The 24,412-nt window shown below is 60.0% G+C and overlaps 1 protein-coding gene and 2 long non-coding RNA genes across 7 annotated transcripts, besides 5 other annotated features; 1 reads left to right on the top strand and 2 right to left on the bottom strand.

Annotated features, from left to right (window-relative positions):
* Positions 1–114: 114 nt before the first annotated feature.
* Positions 115–9,881, top strand: IRX4 (iroquois homeobox 4). 5 transcript variants are annotated; one of them, NM_001278633.1, is made up of 7 exons: positions 115–232; positions 4,547–4,691; positions 5,235–5,486; positions 6,460–6,569; positions 7,151–7,228; positions 7,462–7,790; positions 8,502–9,867. In NM_001278633.1, exons 2-7 carry the CDS (start codon positions 4,647–4,649, stop codon positions 9,323–9,325), a joined length of 1,638 nt encoding a protein of 545 aa, NP_001265562.1. In that variant the 5' UTR covers positions 115–232; positions 4,547–4,646; the 3' UTR covers positions 9,326–9,867. The 5 variants fall into 5 exon arrangements, with proteins under 5 accessions (NP_001265562.1, NP_001265561.1, NP_001265564.1 ...); NM_001278635.2 differs by lacking the exon at positions 115–232 and adding an exon at positions 349–432 and having other exon boundaries at positions 8,502–9,881; NM_001278632.1 differs by lacking the exon at positions 7,151–7,228.
* Positions 1,570–2,103: an enhancer, noted in NCBI's record as "H3K27ac-H3K4me1 hESC enhancer chr5:1885305-1885838 (GRCh37/hg19 assembly coordinates)". NCBI's record gives its function as "activates a minimal SCP1, AML or CMV promoter by ChIP-STARR-seq in naive H9 embryonic stem cells {active_cell/tissue: H9 hESC(naive)}" and the evidence as "EXISTENCE:reporter gene assay evidence [ECO:0000049][PMID:30033119]".
* Positions 2,645–3,961, bottom strand: IRX4-AS1 (IRX4 antisense RNA 1). The gene is made up of 2 exons (NR_183257.1): positions 3,748–3,961; positions 2,645–2,814 (listed from the first exon to the last, which is right to left on the bottom strand). It is a non-coding gene; the product is annotated as an IRX4 antisense RNA 1 (long non-coding RNA).
* Positions 2,653–3,505: an enhancer, noted in NCBI's record as "H3K27ac-H3K4me1 hESC enhancer chr5:1883903-1884755 (GRCh37/hg19 assembly coordinates)". NCBI's record gives its function as "activates a minimal SCP1, AML or CMV promoter by ChIP-STARR-seq in naive H9 embryonic stem cells {active_cell/tissue: H9 hESC(naive)}" and the evidence as "EXISTENCE:reporter gene assay evidence [ECO:0000049][PMID:30033119]".
* Positions 10,684–11,196: an enhancer, noted in NCBI's record as "H3K4me1 hESC enhancer chr5:1876212-1876724 (GRCh37/hg19 assembly coordinates)". NCBI's record gives its function as "activates a minimal SCP1, AML or CMV promoter by ChIP-STARR-seq in naive H9 embryonic stem cells {active_cell/tissue: H9 hESC(naive)}" and the evidence as "EXISTENCE:reporter gene assay evidence [ECO:0000049][PMID:30033119]".
* Positions 11,197–11,709: an enhancer, noted in NCBI's record as "H3K4me1 hESC enhancer chr5:1875699-1876211 (GRCh37/hg19 assembly coordinates)". NCBI's record gives its function as "activates a minimal SCP1, AML or CMV promoter by ChIP-STARR-seq in naive H9 embryonic stem cells {active_cell/tissue: H9 hESC(naive)}" and the evidence as "EXISTENCE:reporter gene assay evidence [ECO:0000049][PMID:30033119]".
* Positions 19,217–22,408, bottom strand: LOC124901164 (uncharacterized). The gene is made up of 2 exons (XR_007059104.1): positions 20,065–22,408; positions 19,217–19,732 (listed from the first exon to the last, which is right to left on the bottom strand). It is a non-coding gene; the product is annotated as an uncharacterized LOC124901164 (long non-coding RNA).
* Positions 20,922–21,421: an enhancer, noted in NCBI's record as "H3K4me1 hESC enhancer chr5:1865987-1866486 (GRCh37/hg19 assembly coordinates)". NCBI's record gives its function as "activates a minimal SCP1, AML or CMV promoter by ChIP-STARR-seq in naive and primed H9 embryonic stem cells {active_cell/tissue: H9 hESC(naive and primed)}" and the evidence as "EXISTENCE:reporter gene assay evidence [ECO:0000049][PMID:30033119]".
* Positions 22,409–24,412: the final 2,004 nt, after the last annotated feature.

Genomic DNA, 24,412 nt, shown 5'->3' with positions numbered 1-24,412 from the left:
GAAAGCGTTAATGGGCGGCCGGGTGGGAGCAGCGCGCTCGCTCGCCCACGTCACGCCGGTGCGGGCTCGGCTGACGACCGCGGCGCCTGGGGACGCCGGCGCGCTCCGCTCGCCAGGTGCTCCGCCTGGAAATGTCTCCATTAGTTGTCGCCGGCTCCCCGCTGGAGCGCGCGCGCCGAGCTTCCGCGCGGAGCCCTCGCGGGCTGCCGGGAGCGGCCCAGCGCCACCGCAGGTAGGTGAGGTCCCCCGCTCCCGCCCCCGCCCCGGGGTTCCGAGACCCCTCCCCCCTTCCGAGGAGGCGGAGGCTCCGCGCGGCCGCCGAGGGGAGCGGGCGGCGGCGGCTGCGGCGACTCCCCGGTGCGTCCCGGGCTGCGAGCTGCTCCCCGCGGCCCCGGCAGCCACACGGCGCGGGCGGGAGCTTCCCCAGCTCAGGTAGGGAGTGGGCTCCGCCGCACAAACTTTGCGAGGATTGCTCTTGCGCTTAAGGGGACAAAGTTTGCTACCCGTCGCTAGGCTCTCCAGAGGCCGCTGCGTTTGCTGCAAGTTGCGGGAAGCAGGGTGCGCGGGCCGGCGCGGGGCGGGGGGTGGGGGGCTCGGAGTGGCCAGGCCTGAGTCCTGGACGCCCGGACGGCGCTCCGTCCAGCCTCAGGCCGTACCCAGGGAGCAAGCGGCGGGGGCGCAGCGGGAGAGAGGAGGGAGAGGGCCGCGGGCCCCCATGGAGGGCGGTTGGGAATCCAGAGATTCACCGCTTGTCCCTGTGGCTCCTTCTCCTACCACTGGCTCCGAGGGGGCCTCGGGGCTGTGAGGAAATGACCTGCCAACCTCGAGGTTCGCCAGTGCGGCGTCAGCGACCGTGAGGCCTCTCAAACCCACACCCCAGCCGGGTGTCCCGAGCGGTGGGCGGGCACAGGCGCCCCCAAGGTCTCTGGCCCCAGGTCTCAGAAAGAAAGGCCCTTGCCTGGTGCCCCGGGCTCCCGGCTTCGCCTTTGGCTGGAGTTAACTTCTCTGGGCTGGAAGGAGCTCCCTCCGGACGAGCTCTTGGTGCGGGGAACTGGTGGCCCCCAGGGTAACTCCTGAAGCACCAGGGCTAGGCTGGCCGAAGAAGGGTCAGGGCCCGGCCTGTCTCCCCGGAGGCCTTCCATGGTTCCGACGGCCAACGGTAACCCCGTCAAAATAGGCGACCCGCCTGCGCTTCGCGTTAGGGGCTGACCATCCCCTGCCTCCCCTGCGGCCTGCTCCGGCCCTGGTCCTCCGCTCTTCGGAGCGCTCCAGGCCAGCGGGAGCACCTCATCTCCCCGAAGCTGAGCCGGTGCTGTGTACTCCGGGAGCCGGCTGACTTCTGGCCCACCTGCTCACGGGTGTATTTAGTACCGGGGGTCCCTAGAGGGAGGAAGGCTCAGCACTCCGAGTCTATGCAGACGCGTTCAGCTGATACCTGAGATGCTGAGCGTCCTATCGTTGGTGAAAGGGACACTGGGTGCCTCCGCTCCAGGCTTGGCCTTTTGGTGAAGGCACTTGGAAAATATTCCAGTATTATCTATGGGAGAAGGGTGGCCCAGTGAGAATCCCCGGTTTGGGCAGGCGGGCCTAGGCCAGGCTACAGGGTTTCAGTGAGATGTCCCGGTGGTCGCCAATCCACAGGCTGGATTGACCCTGTGTCCTGGAATGAGTAGTGGGGCCTGGGTGAGGCCGGGCGGGTCAGGAGGCCTCCTGGGCAGTTGCGAGCTTCCCGAGGCAGGGTGACTGTGACTGGGCCCGGACCCCAGGCGCTGGGGCCTGCTGGCGGGCAGGAAGTGGAGCGTGTGTGTGCGGCGGCCTGGGAAAGCCGATTCAGAGGCCAGGTTTCTGGGTCACGGAGAAAGGGTCGCCCGCTGGTGGGGACTGGAGCGTCGATTTATGCACACAGGCTGGAAAGGCAAAAGAGAACAGGAGAAGGTGGCGGTGGTGGTCAAAGGAAGCCCCCGAAAGGGCCCCCACGTACTGGCTGCCCTGGGAAGTGGAGGCTGCTTCTCCCAGACTCTGCTCAGAAGATGAATGGCCGCCTGTTCTGGGGCTTCGGCTCCAGTTAAGCCCCGCCGGGTCTGGAAGGAAGGAAATGCACCAGCCTCAGGTCTGGGTGGGCTGAGCTGTTGCACTAGAGCCCAGAGGTGCAGGGCATAGGTGGCTGGGCCCCTGGGCCCTGGCTCTCCCCCTCAGCCGGCGGAGTGCTCACAGTCGCCGAGGCCAGGTCCCCGAGTATAGGTGAGGAAAGGACAAGCCACAGCTGAATGCCTCCCCTCTGGGGGTCTCTACTCCCCATCCCAGCCCTTGGCCCGGCTGGGCTCACACCCCTCCTTCAGCCGGGCCTCATTACCTGGAGAGAGCGAGTAGTTTGTAAACAATAAATAATGGGAAGTAGAAGGATGCTCGGGAAAAACCAGAAAACTGCAAGGAGTGGGGAGGAGGGAGGGTGGGAGAGGGGAGGAAGGAGGGTGGGGGAGGGGAGGAGCAGGAGGAGAGGGAAAGGGGTTGAGAGATTCATTTCTAGCGAGAAACCCCGGTGGCTAGTTTCTTATTATTTACAGGAAGGTGATATTAGCGATTCAGGTGAGAAAGAAAGAAACGCGGCCTGCCGCGAAATCAATACAGAATTCAGAAACAATTATTAATGTCATTTGACTCGTGTTCTTTATATATTTCTCGCGGCTACCGACGCTAAACTGTCTGAATAATTTGCATGGAGCGGCTATTCATTATTTCCGATGGTTTCCCTCTGCAAGCAGCTCGGACGTGGCCCGCTCCGGTCCAACGCGATCGGAGAACTCGTATTTTCATCTGTAAATTAAAGCAATTACGCAGCAGATATTATATGATGTGTACTGTGGTCTCCAGATAGTCATCAATCACCTTCAACCGAGCTGTCAAAAGAGCAGGCAGATTTCGTTTCTGGGAGGCAGGCTTGCAGCTGGGGAGAGGGCGAGGACGTCATCATTAATTAGAGGGTGACCCTGGGGCGATTCACAGGTCTGAACCCAGGAATCTTTCTGAGCAAGTCTGCACAACGCTGCCTTGCACGGCTTCCTTCCCAACTTACCACGGGAGGCCGGCCCAGGGGGCGAGGGCAACCGGGGCGAGTCCCGGTCCCGGAGGGCGATGGCGCAGAAGGCGGGGAACGGGTTCGGGATGGCCCGGGCGCCCCCTTGCCGCCCCCTTGCCGCCTGCTCACTGGCCTCCGCTTTGAACTTGGGCAAGGTCCCAGGGAGGGTACTGGCCGAGGGAGTCCTGGGGTGGGCGCTCGGTCCCCTCTTCCGATTGCTCCGTGCGCCCCAGACAGAAAGCTGGGCAAAATGGACAGGGGAGGGCGCCTCCGCCAGGCACCCAACGCCCCCTCCCTCGCAGCCAGCCCTGCGGGGCGCCGGGAGGGACGAGCTTAGCGGGAGGGGCCGGGGCCTGGGTTGAGGAACCTGCTCTTCCGAGCGCGCAGGGCCGCCCGGCAGTCCCCGGCTTAGCCGCGAGGGGCAGGGGGAAGCCGGCGGAGCACGGCCGGCGGAAAGGGGATCGGGGAGGAAAGTCGGGGAGGCGAGGTGGGGGCGGTGGGCTGAGCGGGAACTTAAAAGACCGCGGTGGAGAAGATGGGGCGTTCTCCGCGACACTCGGCTGCCCAGAGGTGCAAAGCCGGTGGGCGCACGCCCGGGGCGGCCCTACAGCCCTCGGGCCGCCAGTCTCAGGGTGTCGGGCTCCAACTAAGGCCCCGAAGCCCCCACGCACCTGAGGGCATTTTGACCAGCTCTTGCGGGCTGTCTTGCGGCCGCAGTGGGTTCTGAAAGTCCATTCCGGCGTAGGGTGGAAACCGGCGGGAGGCGTTGCTGATTCTCGATTAAACAATAGTGACGAGACGCGTGCGGGGCGCCTGCGAGCCCCTTCCTGCCACTCGGAGCAGAGCGCGCCAGCGCGAGGCCGGGCCGGCCGCCTGCGCAGCGCCGGGCTAATTTTAACTGTTGATTACATCTTCAGCGTGTCCTTTCATAGGTCTCATTTGTAATTGAGACGAATGATTACAGTGGGGCGGGAAGGAGCAGCTGCTCATTAATTAATTTCTAATTAAAAGTGCCTCTCGTTCTCGGGTGACTAAAGAGAAACACCGTTCGCTGGGCGATATTGACTCGGATGGAATTTATTTGCTAACGCCCGGAGGAATGGCCCCTCCGTCCACCGCGCGGCCGGGACTGTCCTGGCCCCTCCCGGCCTGAGCCGCCGGCGAGTGACCGGCGAGTCTGCGGCCAGGCCGGGCTGCGCGAGGTGGGGCTGACGTCAGAGCCTCCTCCGCTTCAAGCCGCGCACATCTGACTTGACGGGTTCGCGCGACTCGTTTTTTTTTTTTTCTTTTTCGTAAAATATGTATTTCTGTCGCCGCTGCGAGGCCGCTCGGTCCCAGAGCCCCCTCGAGCCTCCGGAATGCGAAGTTAAAGGAATCGCGGCGGCCACCGCTGCTCACTTTGTTACCCGGTTAGAAAAGTTTGCGGAGCGCGGGGATGGACTAACCGGCTCTCCTGCTTCGCCCTCCCAGCGCCTAGAAGCCTGCAGCTCCGGAGCAGTGGCCGCGCCACGCCGGCCCCAGCGCGCAGAACCCTGCAGGCCCCGCCCGTCCGCCCCGGGCCGCGCCCGCCATGTCCTACCCGCAGTTTGGATACCCCTACTCCTCGGCTCCCCAGGTAAGCGGAGCCCCGCCCCGCCCAGGCCACCGCAGGTGCCGGTAGGGCGGATGGGGCGGGGACGGGGGGTGGGGAGTGTCCGACCTACGACTGCCTGCGGCTTCCGAGCTAGCAAGGCCTGGGTCGCGCGCCCCTCACGCCCAACCCCTGCTCCCCAAACCCCCGGGGAAAGGCCGAGGCGCTAAGAAAATCCGACGGGCCGGGCCCGGGTTCCCTGATGTTTGAACCACAAGGCTCAGGCTGTGCCCCAGGGGAGTCCTAGGACCCCAAGGAACCCCTGGGGAAGGAGGCTTGGCGCGCAAATGGCGTCAGAGGCCTTGGAAACCCTCCGGGGAAGGGTGTAGGTGCTCGGCTGGGCCCCACGTGGCGGAGGAGGCCAGACGCGCACAAGCTAGTGGAAAGGGGCGAGCATCCTGGTGTGGACGGCGGGAGGCCCGGGGGTACTCGGGGCACGCCCTCGTGGGCGGCGCGCGGGATTGGCAAGGCCCAGGGCCCCAGCCTCCAGCCCGGCTTCCCGCCAGTCCTCGCGGCCTCTCTCTGCAGTTCTTGATGGCCACCAACTCCCTGAGCACGTGCTGCGAGTCCGGAGGCCGCACGCTGGCGGACTCCGGGCCCGCCGCCTCGGCCCAGGCGCCGGTCTACTGCCCGGTCTACGAGAGCCGGCTGCTGGCCACCGCGCGCCACGAGCTCAACTCGGCCGCGGCGCTGGGCGTCTATGGGGGTCCCTATGGCGGATCGCAGGGCTATGGCAACTACGTGACCTACGGCTCGGAGGCGTCCGCCTTCTACTCGCTGGTAAGTGGGGCATCCCTAGCCCTTGCCCTGCCCCTGGCCCTCGATTTGCCAAGCCCACTTTTGCCCCAGTAGGCGCGCCAGTCCGGGTCCCCGGACTGTCACAGAGGGGAGGCGCTCACCTTGGCTGCCTTCAACTTTGCGCCTCCCAGCCGAGACCCTCAGAACCCCACCCCCACCCCCTGGGACAGATGACCCGGCAGGTGGCCACTGCGTTTCTTGTTTTTGGTTCCCTACTAAATCCTCATCAGCTGGCAGATTCGGTCTGCGTGTGTTTCCCGCTTCTTCCCTCCTGGTAGATTTCCCTCCCTCATTCCCTGACCCCATTCTCCTCTCCCCGCCTCCTTCAGGCTCCTGGCCTCCCTCTTCCTGTCCTCCCAGCCCCTCTCTGACTCATCCTTCCTATCTCCCTCTTCCTCCCTCTCCCCTGCTTTCGCCCCCTCCTTGTTCCTCCCCCTCCTTGCTCCTCCCCCACCCTTGCTCCTCCCCCCGCCTTGCGCCTCCCCATTTCTCTCCTCCCTTCTCCCCTCCTGGCTTCCATCCCCTCGCTCAGCAGCCCCTCCCCTTTCTCCACCCCTTTTTCCTCCCCACTTGAGTGCATCCCAGGGCATCCCCAGCCCTAACAATCCCCACTCCTTCTCCCAGCTGCCCCCTATTGCCGGCCCCCAGTTCTTTCTGGCTTCCCTCCAACTTCCTCCTACTCCACATCCCCGCTCCCCACACTGCACCTCCTCCCCCCCGCCCCCCCCCACCGGCCCGCGCTCCACCACACACTGCTTCTGCAACTCAGAACATCCCCACTTCAGGTTTGCGAGACCAGGTTTTAAAGCAAGCGGGAAATCAGCTCCTTCCTGCCGGGGCGTAGGGCTGCCCAGGAATCCTTGCCAAGCCTTTGGGAGTGGGGGGCTCCTAGGAGAGAGGCTGGAGTGGGGTTGCCTCCCTGGAAACTGCGACCCCAGACTCTTGGCTCCCACAGAACAGCTTTGATTCCAAGGATGGTTCGGGATCTGCGCATGGGGGCCTGGCACCAGCCGCTGCCGCCTACTACCCTTACGAGCCAGCTCTGGGCCAGTACCCCTATGACAGGTGAGGACCCACCCCTCCTAACCAGCACTAGCCCCACGGGCCCTCTGCACTGTCAGCCACCAACTCCCCTCCACCATCATGCCCCCTTTCTGGAAGGCGGGAGGCAGGAAGAGAGACACTCTTAGGTCAGGCATGACCTGAGTCTGTGGTCTGTGGGGTCCAGCCTCCTGTCCCACCTGCTCCTGCACAGCCATGGTTAAAATGCTCCCCAGTCTCCCCGTCCCCCACGTTGTTGGGCCCCAGAAGTCCTAAATGTGCGGCAGCTTTCAGGGAAGTCGAATCTGGAAGGCCCAGTTCACGGGGCAGCCCGCTCTGCAGACTCTGGGCACCTCCTTCCGAGTGTCCACACTGCCCCTACAGTGGGAACAGTGGGGAACCCCTGGTGGCCCTCCTTTCTCTCCTGTCCCACTTTTGGACAGGATGCCCCACTTTCCTCAATGCAACCACTACAAATTTATCCAAAGACGGTACACTTAGGCCCCTTGGGTGCTTTCTCCTCCTGGGCAGTAATGACCCTTCCTGCCACACGTGTTACATCTCAGGGTGTGGGCTTACCTGTCTATACCTTTTTATGGTTTGAGGATCAAACGGCTAGGCGGTCATCCCCATAAAGGAATTGGCCTGGACCTCTCTGGCTTGGGAAGGAGCCCAGGCTCCCTGTAAGTTTAGTCAAATATAATCTTTGCCCTTTGGCCACAGAAGACAAGTGCCAGCAGGCAGCGGCACCTGGTTGGGGCTCGGGTCCTACCTGGGCCTTATGACCATGACCACAACCCCACGACGGGGAAGCAAAGCCCATCCTGGCATGCCCCTGGCCGACCCCCACCCCTATGCCCATGATGCCTGGGGCCCAGAGGGCCCAGCCTGAGCCCATTGCAGAGCCTGTCTCCAGGTATGGAACCATGGACAGCGGCACGCGGCGCAAGAACGCCACGCGCGAGACCACCAGCACGCTCAAGGCCTGGCTGCAGGAGCACCGCAAGAACCCCTACCCCACCAAGGGCGAGAAGATCATGCTGGCCATCATCACCAAGATGACCCTCACACAGGTCTCCACCTGGTTCGCCAACGCGCGCCGGCGCCTCAAGAAGGAGAACAAGATGACGTGGCCGCCGCGGAACAAGTGCGCAGACGAGAAGCGGCCCTACGCGGAGGGCGAGGAGGAGGAGGGGGGCGAGGAGGAGGCGCGGGAGGAGCCCCTCAAGAGCTCCAAGAACGCAGGTGGGTTGGGAGGTTGTCACTGGGGGCTGAGGCCCTGGAGTGCAGGCACAGTGCCTTCTCTGCGGTTCTAGGACGTCTTGGGGGTCCCAAACGCCGAGCCCCATGCCTAGGCGGTCACCGTGCAAACCGGTTCTGCCTCAGGCTACCAATGTGGGGACTGTGGTGGTGACCCCTGAGCATTTAAAGGAACTCAAATCACGTATAAAAATAGTAGGCCGGGCGCGGTGGCTCACGCCTGTAATCCCAGCGCTTTGGAAGGCAGAGGCGGGCGGATCACGAGGTCAGGAGATTGAGACCATCCTGGCTAACACGGTGAAACCTCGTTTCTACTAAAAATACAAAAAATTAGCCGGGCGTGGTGGCGGGCGCCTGTAGTCCCAGCTACTCGGGAGGCTGAGGCAGGAGAATGCCCTGAACCCTGGAGGCGGAGTTTGCAGTGAGCTGAGATCGCGCCACTGCACTCCAGCCTGGGCGACAGAGCGAGACTCCGTCTCAAAAAAAAAAAAAATTAGACACCCCCCTCCCCCATTGGAGGCCCCTGTGTTGCCAGTTTGTGACCTGGTGGCCTCTGGAGGAAATGGGAGACGCGAAGAGAGGCCCCGAGTGCTTTTCGTAGCGTCGGGAACAGGCCTCATAATGGTGGACGGGGACAGGGGGTCTGATTCACCTACCAACCCTCTCCCTCCACTGGCCACGCATTCTCTCCCGCAGAGCCCGTGGGCAAAGAGGAGAAGGAGCTGGAGCTTAGTGACTTGGACGACTTCGACCCGCTGGAAGCAGAGCCGCCGGCGTGCGAGCTGAAGCCGCCCTTCCACTCCCTGGACGGCGGTCTGGAGCGCGTCCCCGCCGCGCCCGACGGCCCGGTCAAGGAGGCCTCAGGCGCGCTCCGGATGTCTCTGGCCGCGGGTGGCGGAGCTGCTCTGGACGAGGACCTGGAGAGGGCCCGGAGCTGTCTCCGCAGCGCGGCGGCCGGGCCGGAGCCACTGCCGGGCGCAGAGGGCGGCCCTCAGGTCTGCGAGGCCAAGCTGGGGTTTGTGCCGGCGGGGGCGTCGGCAGGCCTGGAGGCTAAGCCGCGCATCTGGTCCCTGGCCCACACAGCCACCGCCGCCGCCGCCGCCGCCACCTCCCTGAGCCAGACTGAGTTTCCGTCGTGCATGCTCAAGCGCCAAGGTCCCGCGGCCCCTGCGGCTGTGTCCTCCGCGCCCGCCACGTCCCCGTCTGTGGCCCTTCCCCACTCTGGCGCCCTGGACAGGCACCAGGACTCCCCGGTAACCAGTCTCAGAAACTGGGTGGACGGGGTCTTCCACGACCCCATCCTCAGGCACAGCACTTTGAACCAGGCCTGGGCCACCGCCAAGGGCGCCCTCCTGGACCCCGGGCCTCTGGGACGCTCGCTGGGGGCGGGCGCGAACGTGCTGACTGCACCCCTGGCCCGCGCCTTTCCGCCTGCCGTGCCCCAGGACGCCCCAGCTGCAGGCGCCGCCAGGGAGCTGCTCGCCCTGCCCAAGGCCGGCGGCAAACCCTTCTGCGCCTGAGGCGGGCGGGTCCCGAGCCCAGGAGGGAACCCGCGCTCAGGCGGACGGCGCCGACTCTTTTCACTGAGTTTCCAGAGGAAGACTAGCGCGGCCACCGCGAAGCCGCCAACCCACCGGAGAGGGGGCTTCTGAACTTGGACTCCTGGGAACATGGACAAGCCCGGCGCTGCCACGCCGGGGCCTCCACCGCCTGGGCCTGAGCCTGACCGGGCCATTCCCAAATTTGGGACGCGGAAGGAGAGGCTCTCGGAGCAGAAGAGGCCAGATACCCTGAAGCATAAAGTTTACGTCAAAAGTTTACATGGAGAAGGCGGTTCCGTTCTGAAGCGTGGTCTGCTGTCCCCTGGGCGTGAGGCCTCCTGGGCCTGTCGGGCCTCCGATTTCATCCTCAGCACGTAATGCTCACCAACAGCACTTGCACTGAGTTGACTCTTGCACACTCTTGACTCCATAATATGATGCTTTTTAAGATGTATGTTCACACCAATAATTGCCTGCTTCAGAGGCTAATATAACAAAACCAATAAAACCGAGTGATGGTGTTTGTATTGCAAAATGAACACATTTAAAACCAGGGGATTTGAGAATTCCCAAGGGAAAGCGGTGCTAATCCGGGAGGGAAGGAGTGGGGAGCAGGAACTGACCCAGACTCCACTCCCCAAAAGCAGCTGGTTCAACCCAAGACTTTAAGCCACTTTTAAAAGAACTGTCGCTGTAGAGTTTGAGGGTTCTGCTGAGCTCCCTAATAGAAGTGGGTGTGAGACCCAGAACTCGTACTTCCCATCACCCAACTCTAGAAGTTTGAAAAAATAGGGATTTCTTTGATTAGATTTTAAACTTTCTAAATTCCCAGAGCCGTGTCCCGGGGGGGGGCGTGGGAGCCCATCGTTGCTTTTCTCTGTTAGCGGCCTCTGCCCATCCTAGGCAGGAGTTAGGGCGGCCTCGACGCCTCTGCCGTCTCAGCCACCTCCTAACCTCGGCTCTCCTATTTCCGGGGACCCGCCGCTCCGCAATCAGCTCTGCTCGGAAAGCCGGCGAGCCGCGGCTCCGCGGGGGGAAATGCTCAGAGCTTCACAGGCCGCCGACCGGAGGCGGGACTGGGAGGAAAGGCCTCGGGGCAGGGCGGGAAGGGCGTGTGGAAGGAACCCGCGGAGCGATCCGGGGCTCGGGGGGCCCGGCCAAGCCGTGGCTACGCTCAGAAATCCGGGCTCCCCTCCCCATCCCCGCGGCGGAGGCGGTTCCGCATCCCCCGCAGGCGCCTGGCGGACTTGAGGCCTCTCCTCTCGCCCCCCACCCCCCACCCCGAGCCCTCCGCCCGAAGCCCTGCTGGGCTCATCAAAGGCCCAGGTGTCCCAAGGACTACGGGAGCGGCCCGGGGGCGGCGAGGAGGCGACCACAGGCCCTTGCCTGGGACAGGATAGCCGGAGACGCAGGACTGTCTTGCGGGCGGGCGGCCTTGGAGGGACTCACTAGGCTCGGCTTTCCTCTAGGAGCCTGGGGCTGGGCGGACCCGGACTGCGGCCTCGTGGGGACCCCTGGGCCACCAAAGTCCCCCGCGTGGTGGGGCCTGCCCTGAACCCTGGCGACAGGGCCTGGACCGGGCCCTGAGGGGGACCCTCGGCCGCCGGACCCCGAGCCCCAGGAGCGCCCGGGCAGCCGAGCGTAATTGGATTGTATCCGGCCGCGCGCTGTCACCGTATTGACTTTCGCGCTCGAGATGATATTATCGAGGTTCGGAAGCTCGCGGCTCATGTGCCTGTCAAAAGGCTGCGGCGGGAGCCCCCGGCCTGGCGAGCGAGCATCAGCCAAGGTAATTTGAAGTGAAATTTTCATTTTGACAGTAAACCCCTCAATTTCTAAAGGCTCCGCGCTCCGAGAGCTCGCTGGCAGGGGGAGGCTTTGCAGAAAGCCCACGTCTTAGACTGAAAAGGGCAAAAGAACTCGAATTAGTTGTAATAGATAAAAGGGCAAAAATAAAGAGTCAAGGGTACTTGACAGTAATAGCGAAAGTGGCGTCTCGGGGGACAGCGTTGAGGCCCGAGGCTGGGGCGCCAGGAATTTTAATGTGGCCGAGGGTGGCTGCCCAGACGCCCCCACCCCAGCCCTAGACAAAGCCAGGCATTTTCCGCAAAAACAAGGTTTCGCCTTGCGTCGCAGATAGGCGGGGTAGGGGCTGCGGACACTGAAAATCGAGGCGTGGACCCCGGCCTTACGCTCCCGGCCGCGGGCAGCCTGGCGGGGCTCTGCAGCCCCCAGTGCGCGCATGGGTGGCGCAGGTTGGCGGGTTGGACTTGGTCTGGGCTCTGGGTCCCTCTCCTGGGGAGGACCCAGGGCTCCTGCCGCCAGCCAAGCTTGCTGCCCTCGGGACCCCAGCCCCTCCCCGTGGCCCTGGCCATAGGAATTCCATCTCGCTGGAGCCCCCGGATCTTGGTGGAACTGGCTGACAAAGCTGGCTTATTTGAATAAGCTGCGAGATTGTGTTAAATAAAGACGTCGGGTGGGGAGGCGGATTCAGCCACATTCTAAGGGGACGCGCAGGAAATGGCATCCCCTCGCTGGGCGCTTCCCCCACACCCTTCCCTTGGGGCACAGTCCAGCCGGTTTGCCTTAGGCGCCCCCAAACACCCTCTGGCTGATCTTGTGGGGTGGGGAGGTGTCAGGCAGGACAATTCCGAAGTCGGAGCGGGGTGGGGAGGGGGCGTTTGCAAAGAGGTGACACGGAGGGGGTGAATTTTAGGTGTCTGAGTGGACGCGCCAGGGAGGTCGATGTCAGTGGGGCGGGGGCGTGACGGGGAAGGGTCGGGGCGGGCGACTGGGCTCCCAGGGAGATTGTCAGAGAAGGGCTGGGAAGGCGCCGGGAGGCCGGCAGGGCCGGCGCGCTCGGTTATTCAGGCGTGGCGAATTCAAACACACCAAGGAGGGGATGCAAATTAACGGCGCTCTTTACATAGAGCCCAAATAAAACTGTAATCAGCGGTGCGTTACTTTTCATTAAGCGAGTCTGACAGCAGCATATTCAGGCTCGACAAGGGAACAGGCGCGGGAGATATACGGCTCTCCCGGCCGCCCGGCCTAAGATAATTCCTTAAGCTCCATTAACAACTCTTAGCCGCAGGAAATGGGCTCCCGGAAAACGTCTCCAAATCTAAAAGCTTTATCGACCTCTCAAACCGCGGCTGATGATTCCATTTTTTTTTTCTTTTTTCTTTTCTTTTTTTTTTTTTTTTTTTAACTTAAGGGAGAGACGTCCAGCAAGGTAATAGAGTTTGACACGACACCTTCTTAACTAGAGAGAGAGGCAGGGAAGCCAGCCCTTAAATGATATTTAAAAGGCAACCAATTAAGATTTAAAGTGGCCGTCTCCTGAGATTATGCATGCGATGTATGCCACCTGCGTTTCCCTGGGCACGCCTGCTGCTGACGAGACAGCCCGGCCTCCCTCTCTCTCCCCATCCCGGTCTCCCAGTCCCTCACCGTCTCCCTCCAACTCCACTCTGCTCCCCTCTCTCCCTCTCCTCTTTCTCCCTCTCTCCCTTACTCTCTCTGTCTAGAATAATCTCTCTGTCTCTCTTCCTCCCTCTGTCTCTCCCCCCACCCCCCATAAAGGGAATAGCAGAAGGCAGAGAAGCAGCCAGGTCTCCCCTGATCCATCCCCTCCCGGTGCAAGGACCCTGCAGGTTTCCTGGTAGATGGGCAGCCTGCCCCATCAGAAGAATGGCGGATTAAAGGAAATTGAGCCTCACCCCCCACCCCATAGACATCTGGCTGGCCCACAGTTTCTCCATGACCTAGGCACCCCCACAGTGGTCTCTCACTGGGTTCAGGCCTTGCTCCCAGGCCTCCAGCATAGGGACAGATGGGACGGAGGGGGCAAAGCGGGGGGGGGGGTGGGAAAACAGTTAACAACAGAGGAGAAGCTGGGAGCTGCCTTGAACCCCTCCACCTGGTGTGACTGAGGCAGGGGCTCCCCACCACCTCCTCACCCTTGCCACCTTCTTGCCAGCTTTTTGGGGTCCCTCTAGGGAAACCCTTGCTCTGGGGGCAGTCACATCCCTTTCATACTGTCACCTCCATGGAGGTGATGCCCGCCTGGGAATTTTTTCCCATCGGAGCCACCAAACGGACCTTTACCCAGGGTCACACTGTGAAGAGCAGCCAGGCCCAGGGAGGGAACCACCACACCCTTTAATTTACCCCTGGGGAAGTCCCAGCTGAAAGGGACCTTGAACAGTGGGGCAGAGGGAAGAAGTGGGGGAGGGGAGGGCAATTTGAGGGGTAGAAGGGACAGATGGGGAGAGGCTGGGGGAGAAGGGGAGGCTAAGGGGAGGAGGAGAGACCTAGTAGTAGGTGGCAGGGGAACCGTCTTCCAAGATGCAGGGCCTCAGCTTTATGAAGAAATACTTGGGAGCAAAATGTCTTTTCCCAAGAGGATTCTGGAGGTGGGATCCCGCAGGACACCAGAGCAGCCCTGAGCAGGAGCTTCGGCTCCAGTTTCCTGCTAGGGAAGGGAGGGAGTGGACTTTACCCAAAGGTTCTCGGGCGTCCGCCAGACCCGCTCTGGGCTTTAAGAAGGGGGAGTCCCCTGAGAGCCGCTGCTCCTTCTAACAACATCAGAAAACCAAGAGTGGGTTCTGGAGGCAGCTGCCTTCCCCTAAAAGCCTTCATGATTCGAACTGAACCCACCAACGTGTAGGAAGGTACCAAATGCCCAAATAATTGAATGGAAGAATGAGGGGTTTTCGAAGTTCTGTCCAAACTCTCCCCAGGTGAGACGTTCAGGCAGCTCAGAGCACCCCTTGCTCCTTCTGTCTTTGCGACAGTGACGTGGTCATTTCAAGGCCCCCCTCGGATTTCCACTCACTGCTCTGGCGCAGACCTGGACTCAGAAGCATTGCCCACGTGATGACAGACCCTCAGCTCATGGAGAAATCATGAATGACAATGATAGGTGGAGAGGTGGGACCTTCCAAAGAGGAGTGGTGTCCTGGCAAGGACATCAGCTGAGCTCATTTTAAGTCTTTGTTTTTCAATGTGTTGCATGATTTTAAGATGCATGTTCATAACATGTATGGCCTCCTCTGGCCGGCGAAGGATAGGGCAGATGAACCCTGTGTGTACATCTGTGTGTGTGTGAGGCCCCATTTCCGCTGGACCATGTCCTTCCTTCTCGGGGCTCCATCCAGGGCCTGCAGGTGCTGGTCCAGCCCCTGAGCAGGGCTGAGCTGTCTCTGTCCCCGGCCCAGCAGGCAGCAGGGCAGGGTGTGCCGAGGACACAACCTCCAGGCTGGCAGGAGCACCAGAGCATCCCTGCAGGATTCTGGAAGCATTTCCAGGAAACCCGAGCCAGTCAAGCACACCACACAGGCCCTGCCTTTGTCCGCACACCCTGCCACCCCCCCTACCACTACACACACACACACACACACACACACACACACACACACACTAGTCCTTGCTGAAACCATGCCCCAGGCTGTGGTGAGCGGGGTGGCACTGCAGATGGCCCCAGGCTTGAGTCTTGGGGGTCAGGTAAGATTTTGACCAACAGAGCAAGAGGAGGGAGGTCGTCCAAGGGTGGGGTGTGGGCAGAGCCCAGAGCAGGGGCCAGGCCACGGGGGGCGGGGGGGTGGGGGGACAAGGCTTACTTTAACTGGAGCACAGGGATGAGGGGAGACAGGGGCCCCAAGGGAGTCATGTGGGCTGGAGTTGGGGAGAGCCTGTAGGTGGGGTTAGCATCGACTTGCTTGCCTGTGAAACCGACTCTGTAGTGTAGACAATTGCCATCCAGTGACAGGGCTGGAGGGAGCCTTAAGGAGACCCTAGAGCAAAGGAAAGGCGTCTAAGGAATGGGCAGACTTGGAAGGGGGCCTGGGCCGGCTCAGGCCTCCGGGAGCAAGCACGGCTGCAGCCCCTGGCGTGAGGCTCCCAGGACCCAGCCAGGGCAGCTGCAGCAGGCAGAGGCGGCTGGCTCAAACGGGTGAGGTTCCCCTGGCATGGGGAAGCAAGAGGTTGAAAGAAAATATCCAATAATCCACCTGCGTGAAGTTAGCAGGAGCAAAAAGTCAGAGGAAAGGTTGCTTTCATGTGATATTTAACACCCCGTAGGCACCTAACTGGATGTGGCAAGGAGAAACCTGCTATGTTTTTGTGTCAGGAAGCCTCACAGCTAAGCTAATAAATTTGGGGGTGTCCGTGGTCACAATGAAACAGAGACCACTGTGCGTGTTGGCACGCGGGCGCCCTGGGGCAGGTCTCCCTCTGCCGTGGCTTTGGCAGTGCATGCCCTGCCTTCCTGAGCACCAGATTGGTGTGTGGTCAGAGGAGACACAGGGCACCAGCATGGAGCCAGGTGCCTCTCGGGCCTCCTGACCACACCACGGGTGAAGGCCCAGGGGCCTCTGCAGGCTCTGTGCTGCTCTTAGGGTGGCCCGGCTGAAGGGAGTGAGCACGGGGGTGAGGTGAGATTCTGTATCTGAAGGCGCCGGGAACGGCAAAGTGCTCCTTGGTTATCAAGGTCCCCAGGCGCAGTTGCTGTCCCCCAGGGCAAATGGCAGGACAGGGAGAGGCACAGTGGAGTGGGCAGGAGAGAGCTGGACAAGGCAGCAGCCCCAGCCCCTCTGGCAACCAGGGAGGCTCTAGGAGGCTCGAGTTGCTGAGGAGGCCTTTTCTCACTGTCTGCACGTGCACACCCCCTTGAACAGATACACACACTCTCACACTCAGGCACGCATGCACTCACACTCACACACACAGGCACGCATGCACTCACACTCACAGGCACGCATGCACTCACACACTCAGGCACACATGCACTCACACTCACAGGCACACATGCACTCACACAGGCACGCATGCACTCACTCACAGGCACACATGCACTCACACTCACAGGCACGCATGCACTCACACTTACAGGCATGCATGCACTCACACAGGCACGCATGCACTCACACTCACAGGCACGCATGCACTCACACAGGCACGCATGCACTCACTCACAGGCACGCATGCACTCACAGGCACACATGCACTCACTCACAGGCACGCATGCACTCACACAGGCACGCATGCATTCACAGGCACGCATGCACTCACAGGCACACATGCACTCACACTCACAGGCACACATGCACTCACACACTCAGGCACACATGCACTCACACTCACAGGCACGCATGCACTCACACAGGCACACATGCACTCACACTCACAGGCACGCATGCACTCACACAGGCACGCATGCACTCACTCACAGGCACACATGCACTCACACTCACAGGCACGCATGCACTCACACTCACAGGCACACATGCACTCAGGCACGCATGCACTCACACTCACAGGCACACATGCACTCACACAGGCACACATGCACTCACAGGCACGCATGCACTCACACACTCAGGCACACATGCACTCACTCAGAGGCACGCATGCACTCACACTCACAGGCACACATGCACTCACACAGGCATGCATGCACTCACACTCACAGGCACACGTGCACTCACACAGGCACGCATGCACTCACAGGCACGCATGCACTCACACACTCAGGCACACATGCACTCACTCAGAGGCATGCATGCACTCACACTCACAGGCATGCATGCACTCACACTCACAGGCACACATGCACTCACAGGCACGCATGCACTCACACAGGCACGCATGCTCTCACACATACACAGGCATGCATGCCCTCACACACACACTCACCGGCATGCATGCAATCACACACACAGGCACGCATGCACTCACACACTCACAGGCACGCATGCACTCACATTCACACAGACACAGGCACGCATGCACTCACACACAGGCATGCATGCACTCACACAGCCATGCACTCACACACAGGCACGCATGCACTCACACGCACATGCACTCACACTGACACACAGGCACTCATGTACTCACACACAGACACACATGCACTCACACTCACACACTCCTCCTTCTCTCTCCGTTTGTTTCCATGTGTCCCTCTCCCATTTTCTCATGCTCATACACACACATGCAGCACACAGGCACACGTGTGGGAATACATGCAGGCACTCAGGGACACACACATGTGCATGCATCCACACATATGCACATCTGTTTGCACAGCCTCCTGCAGGCTCAGAGTGGGCTGGAAGAACCATCAGAGGCCTGCACCTACAGAGGGCCCCGGGGCCTATTTCATTTTTTGGAGGGAAGGATGGAGTTGCCCCGCCCCATGTGGGACCAGGTGTCAGCAGGCAGCCCTGGACCAGCGCCCGGGAGTTCAGCCATTCTGGACCCCCCAGTGCTGGGGCCCGAGCTTGCTCTTCCCCAGAGGCTGCTGCTCTCCAGAATGAAGCGCCCAGGTGCTCACATGCACCGCCTTCCTGTCCCAGACAGTCCGGGAGAGGGAATGACACCTGCCAGCCCAGCCTCCTCCAGGGCCCGGCCACTGCACTCCCAGCCTCAGAGCCTAGGAGCCCGGGGCAGCCTGCAGGCTCCCGGCAGGCCGGTGAGGGCTCTCTGCGTCTGGCTGGGCTCCAGGGGCTCCCCTCCTTTCCTGCCCCCTGCTCCTGCCCAGGCCCCTGTGTTCACAGCACACGGGGCCTCCCTCACCCGCAGTGGGCAGGGACAGTCCCAGGGGCAAGTGGCTCCCATTCACCAGGGAGCCATAAATGGGCCCTTAATGAATGAATCAGATAATAGAGACTCTCTTCGTGGAACATTAGCCCAAGTTCAAGATAATCAGCCTGAACACAAACTCCAGCTTTGCAACAGCACTGGCCTGGGGCAGGAGTGTACCTGACATCAGACGAGGGGGTGCATGGGGCACCTCCGCCAGGGCAGCCACGAGCCTGTGCACGCGGACGGTTCCAGGTGTCTGGGGACAGTGCTGCTGCGGTGGCATAGCCAGCACAGATGCAGGCACCTCGCCTGATCTCTGGGTCTCCACTGCACGGCACGGGTGCTGGACTTGCCTCTGCCTCTGCCCATCTGCAGGTCCTGGAGGATACGTTGGAGTCTCTGGGTCTTCCCCTAGCTCTGTGAACACGTGACCCGGAAGGAGGCAGTGGGGACGCCCAGGACTGGAGAACTTCAAGGTTTAGGGGTGACACCGCTTCCTGCTTGGCAAAGAAATTCAAGGTTTAGGGGTGACACCGCTTCCTGCTTGGCAAAGAAATTCAAGGCTTAGGGGTGACGCCGCTTCTTGCTTGTCACTTGCATACTGAAAATTGGTTGTCTGCTCAGTGAGACATGGGGGCCATCCGAGGCCCCTGCGGTGTGGCACAGCCCCTGAGACCACTCCAGGGACCATAGCAAGGGCCCTGGACACAGCAGGATGCACCAGATTCCCCGGCCAGAACAAGGGCTGAGCTTCGAGTGAAAGGCGGGGCCTGGACGTTGGCTGTGGTTTGCAGGGAGGACGGCATGGCAGGCGTCCCACTCTGTGCCCCGTGATGGGTACATCAGCCCACAGGAATCACCAGGAAAGAGCTGAGGCCCTGACGAAGTGGACGCCTACGCCAAGCTCCCCCAACAAAGCCCTTCCTCCCTGGCTTTGGGTACTCATTGTCCATCTGCAGGGGTGGCTGACTTCTTGAGGGCAGCTGATGGCCAGGAGTGGAGAAAGAGGCACATGTGGCCATGCCGAGGAGCACGTCAGACTCCAAAGCCCCCATGCTTTGTGGTTGGAAAACCCCACATACAGTCTCCTGGGCTGCTCCACTCACAAGCGCGGTGGGGAGGAGCTCAGAGGTGAGAGGGGCCGACGTGAACACAGTCACACAAGGCCCTGCAAACGTCCCTACGAGAGCGGCACAGATGCCCCATGCGTCCTTCAACAGAGGAGCTGCCAGGGACCCCCCGTAGTAAAGCAGGAGCCAACTTGTTAACCTCTCACACTCCAGTTTTTACCACCTTTATTTTTTAAACAAGACACTCACTTAGAATGTCCCCGCTGCAGAGGATGGGGAGGCTGAGCCCTGGACAAGGACACCTGAGGGCCCGCAGTCAAGCCACGCAGAGCTGAGCACCTTCACGGCGGGGACGGCGGGGACGGCGGGGACGGCGGGGACGGCGGGGCCTGTGTGAGCAGCGCAACCCGGCAAGTTCTGCGTTCTGGCTGGACGTGGACGCCCAGCCCTGGAGTGAATTTGCCGCAGTCAGTCCTCGTCCAGGCAGTGCAGGCCTTCCTCCGCCCTCAAGTTGGACACCCACTGGCTTCTCGCGGGAGCCTGGGTTTGTTGCTCTTATCTTGATTTCTATCCTAAGCTGCTCCTTCACCTACAGCTGCAGCAGATCAGGGCATTCTCAGAGCAACTCTTCACCTGTCTCTGCTGCTCAGCAAACATCACAGCAGGCTGCAGGGCTGCAGACTTTGTTGACCAGGATTCCGGATTAGCCACCTGTGTCGGGAGCCTGTGGAAGGAAGCATCGGACACACTAGGATTGATCTAGAGGAGAGGGCACCTCACACACCCTCTCTCCACACTACATATCCGTCTCCACACACCCTTCTCCACACACAACCTCTCCCACACAGAAACCCTCTCCCCACACACCTTCTTCCCACACACCCTCTCCCCACACACCCTCTCCCACACAGAAACCCTCTCCCCACACACCTTCTTCCCACACACCCTCTCCCCACACACCCTCTCCCCACACACCCTCTCCCCACACACCCTCTCCCACACACCCTCTCCCCACACACACACACTGTCCACACATGCCCTTCTCTCCACACCTACACAGAGCAGGGTGCTGTTCTGTTTTAGTTTAAATGCTTCAGGAAATCAGGGATCATTCATTTTCTTCTGCTTTCAAGCACAAAATAATTATCCCTGACATTTACCATTTTCTTCCCTCATTGAATGTAACATGTCCCTTTTAAAATGTCTTTTTTAAAAACAGACCTATTTTAGAGAACATAAAAATCTGTAAAGTAGGCAAACGTTTTCTTATTTCCAATGAGTCCTCACCACACTGAGTCCTTAAAACTGCTGTCCTTGTATTTAAAATCAATGTTGGTCCCAAAACCTCAGTCACGGAAACTTCCAGAGAGCGAGGGTGTGTCTGCGTTTCTTCACCACAACCTTATCCATCGTTTGATGCGTTTCTTCACTGCATCCTTATCCATCGTTTGATGCGTTTCTTCACTGCATCCTTATCCATCGTTTGATGCGTTTCTTCACTGCATCCTTATCCATCGTTTGATGCGTTTCTTCACTGCATCCTTATCCATCGTTTGATGCGTTTCTTCACTGCATCCTTATCCATCATTGACAAGTGCTGTGAGTCAGACCAGGTCCTGCCCACCCAGACCCTGGCCTGTGGGGGGAGGAGGGGTCCCGCTTGGCCGATAAATCGGACGATTATGGGATGACATCCATGTGGGATGGTGTGAGATACAAACACACAGATACTTAAAATAAATCATCACGCCATTTAAATGTAGGTACGGAATACATGGAAACCAGGGAGAAATCGTATCACAGGTCTTCCTGGAAGGTCATTTTAAAGTTGTTTAGACTTGTTCACTGCAATTCAATATTCTGTATTACATTTTATACATCTGTGTGATTGATCCCTCCCCTATCAAACCGGAAACTGCTGAGTTCCAAGGGCCCCGGCCCTGGATCCTGGAGAGGCCCCTCCTGTTCCCTGCGACTCAGCCTTGCTGACCTGCCCACAGCTGGGCGGCGAAGCGCCCAGGGGCTGCTCGGGGACCTGCACTTTCTCCTCACTCCTCTCAGGCCTCCAGCGGCCTCCTCTGCATCAAATATGCTCTGCAAAGGGACATAATGAATGTCTTCACTGTAAAGTGACACCAGCAGTTACAGCATCAAATATGGCCCTCCGGGGACCTTGATATTCAGCTAGACCAGCGCTTACAGGAAGGTGGCGGGGCCCGCAGGCCGGCAAGCCTCCCCCTGGGGCATGGCTGAGTCGCCAAACCCCTCTCCAAGCATACGGGGCAGGACCCAGAGACACGGGGCCCATCTGTAGTGTTAGGGCTTTGAGGATAATATTTCCTTTGTCAGAACAATGTTTAATCAGAACCACGGGCGAGTGCTTCAGCTGGCTTTGAGGGCTTTAGTGTGAAAAAGACTTCAGGAGAGATTAGAACCCGGCGAGATGAGAACCAAGGGAGACCGGCCTCCCAGCCTATATCTATCGCACCTGCCCTGGCTCAGGGCTGGGCTGGACGTGTTCATTCTCATCTTTCCCACCAGCTGTCCCTGAGGGCCGGGCTGGCCTGCCGGTGAGGGAAGCTCAGGGGAGGAGGGGGAGGCCCAGGTGAAAGGAAGCCTGAATTTCCAGGAGGCAGACGGCAGACTCCGGACACCGGGCCCACCCAGAGCTCGGGGCCAGCGATGGTCCCCTAGTGGATGGCTTTCCTCTCCTCCTCTGGGGCTTCCGGTTGGCATCGCCTGGACCATCTCCCCAGCCCTTTGATCAAGGCTGTCCTGAAATGCCCTCCCCAGCAACTCCCCCGTGTAAACCCTATGTTCCCATAATCATAATCGCGGTGGCTTCGTTTTTCTGACTGAACATGATCTGAGTGCCAGATGTGCTTCCAGGGTGGCAGCGCCTCTAGGAGAGGAGTCTGGAGTGATCCCTGATCCGATGGGTGGTCCTGGGACCTGTGGAGAAGGTGCACTCACACGTGATCCCGGAGTGGTCACGCGGTTATCACTGCGATCATCTGGAGCCTGGCGCATGTTTACACATGGCGCGGCTCTCAGGACCCATGGCTGCAGCTTGCACCAGGGTCATAAAATTGCAGGGTGCAGGGACTGGATCGCCCTGGGACTCTGAACACCCGCTCCTGACTTTCTGTGCTGGCCTGAAGGAAGCCCTTATCTCCAGGATCCACAGGTCTGCAATTTCTGGGAACCAGTGCAACAGGCTGAGTCAGCCGTGCGGGATTCACAGCCCTGCAGGTTCTCCAGGTGGAGGTGACATAGGTGGGGAGAGGCAGGTGGGCAGAATCTGAGAAGCTGAGACCCTGAATTCCCCAGTCACTCAGGGCACCGCTTCCTGCTCTTGCCCCGACCACCCTCTCCTGGCCTGAAAGACTCGAGTCCACTGTCACCTCCTATCACCTAGCACCAGCCTTAAGTCCCAGGGTCAGAGCCAGGAGGAGGGACCATGCACACAAAAAGAACTGCAAGATCTTGCCTGTTTTTGTCAACAGAAACACAGGGAATATACGTGGCACTGGCTCCTAAGGGTGATGGACCAGGGTGGAAGACGTGGAAGGTTCGGCCACCGGTGCCCTGACTGCGTCCGCTGGCTTGTGTTGGTCTGAGTGACCATCAGTGGCTCTAACAGTTCTGAAACACAGACTTGATGGTTGCCATCGTAAGATGAAGCCAAATGCTACCAGGAAAGACAAACATCTCAGGAGAGGGAGCTGTCGCCGTGGCTGGGTTTCTTACGCATGACCTTCTCACCCACCGCGTCACTTCTCCTCCAGAGTCCAGAGGACCCCCTCCCCACAGCATGGATGAGAAGAGAGCCCCCACTGTTAGACTCCACCACAGCCGTGACCTGAGGCCGCCGTCACCGTGAGAGATGCTGCCATTATCTCAGAGCCCCCCAAATTCGATGGGAAAACGAAATCTCAGAAGGGCAGGGGCCCGGGGCGAGTCGTCGATGAGGTGGCTGTGGTCACGCAGTGGGCAGCAGGACTGCCCAAACACGGCCATGGCTTGGCCCACAGAGATCTCTGATGACAACCCGTGAATCACAGCATTCCTGGGACTCAAGGAGAGAGCTGTGATCGTTTGTTCTCTTTTGCTTGTAACAGAATACCTAAGCCTGTTACAGTGGGCAGCCCGTGTGGTGTGAGCAGGGCAGAAGAGGGTCCACTCACCCCAGGAGCGTCAGCGACCATCAGGTGCTGGTCAGGCGGTTGTCACACTGTCTCTCTAAAGTAATAACTGGCCACAGCCGGGGCCAGGGAAAGCCAGGCTCCTAATAGAAAACACCTGAAGCTGGTGATGAGCAGCTTCCTGATAAGAGCTCAGGAGTGGGGGAAGGTGACCCCAGAAGCATGCCGATGCATAACCCTGAGTTGAGAGGCCAAGCCGCACACTTGGTCTCTCAGGTCACCCACTTGACCTTCTTCCGAGTGGACTTTCCTTCCTCACATTCCTTCTCTAGAGATTTTTAATAAATGTTCACTCCTGCTCTAAAACTCGCCTTGGTCTCTCCTTCTGCCTTCTGCCTCTCAGTTGAATTCTTTCTTCTGAGGAGGCCAGAATTGAGGTTGCTGCAGACCCATACCCATAAGCACCACTGCTAACAAAACCAGGTAATGTATAAGAAAAGGAATTTACTTCTTACGCTTATGGAGGCTGAGAAGTGCAAGGTCGAGGGGGCACAGCTGGTAAGAGCCATCTTGCTGGGGGGATTCTCTCTGCAGGTACCTGACGCAGCTCAGGTCATCCCATGGCAAGGGGCCCGACCCTGCTAACGTGCCAGCTCAGGTCTCCCTTCCTCTTCTTATCGAGCCACCAGTCCCCTCCCATGGCAACCCATTACTCCCTGAATCCATGAACAGGTTAATCCATCCCCCAGGGCAGAGCCCTCAGGATCCAATCACTCTTCGAGGGCCCCCCACTTTCAACACTGCCACACTGGGGGCTGCTTCAACAGTTTGGGGGGAGACATTCAAACCATAGCAACAGCCAACTCAAATCTTACTTGATTTGTATCATGAAAAGGAAAAATAAAACAAGAAAAAGCAACCTCCAACCCTGATAAACTGAGGTTTGACCTGAATCACGGCCTCTTAACCCCTGGCCAGACTTAAGCCAGATCAGGGCCCGGGAACGGGGTTCTGGGCTCCCTCGAGTGAAGACACTGCTACACCACAGAAGGAATCTGTGCTACCTTCCCCAAAGGGAGCCTGCAGGGGCCATTTTCCAGGTCACTGCACTGCGGGAAGACACATTCCACAGGCCTTCTGGCAATTTCTAGACAGTGGCTCTGAATCAATGCTAACTCCTGGAGGCCCAAAGGCAGGAACTCTTGGGGGCCAGACGGAGAACTGGGTCTGGGCTCCACTCTCCTCGCAGTGGCCTGTGC

This window comes from Homo sapiens, chromosome 5 (genome assembly GCF_000001405.40).
Source record: "Homo sapiens chromosome 5, GRCh38.p14 Primary Assembly".
In the NCBI taxonomy this organism is placed as follows: domain Eukaryota; kingdom Metazoa; phylum Chordata; class Mammalia; order Primates; family Hominidae; genus Homo; species Homo sapiens.
Note: the sequence above shows the minus strand (reverse complement) of the source record. Positions and strands in the feature narration are given on the sequence as shown.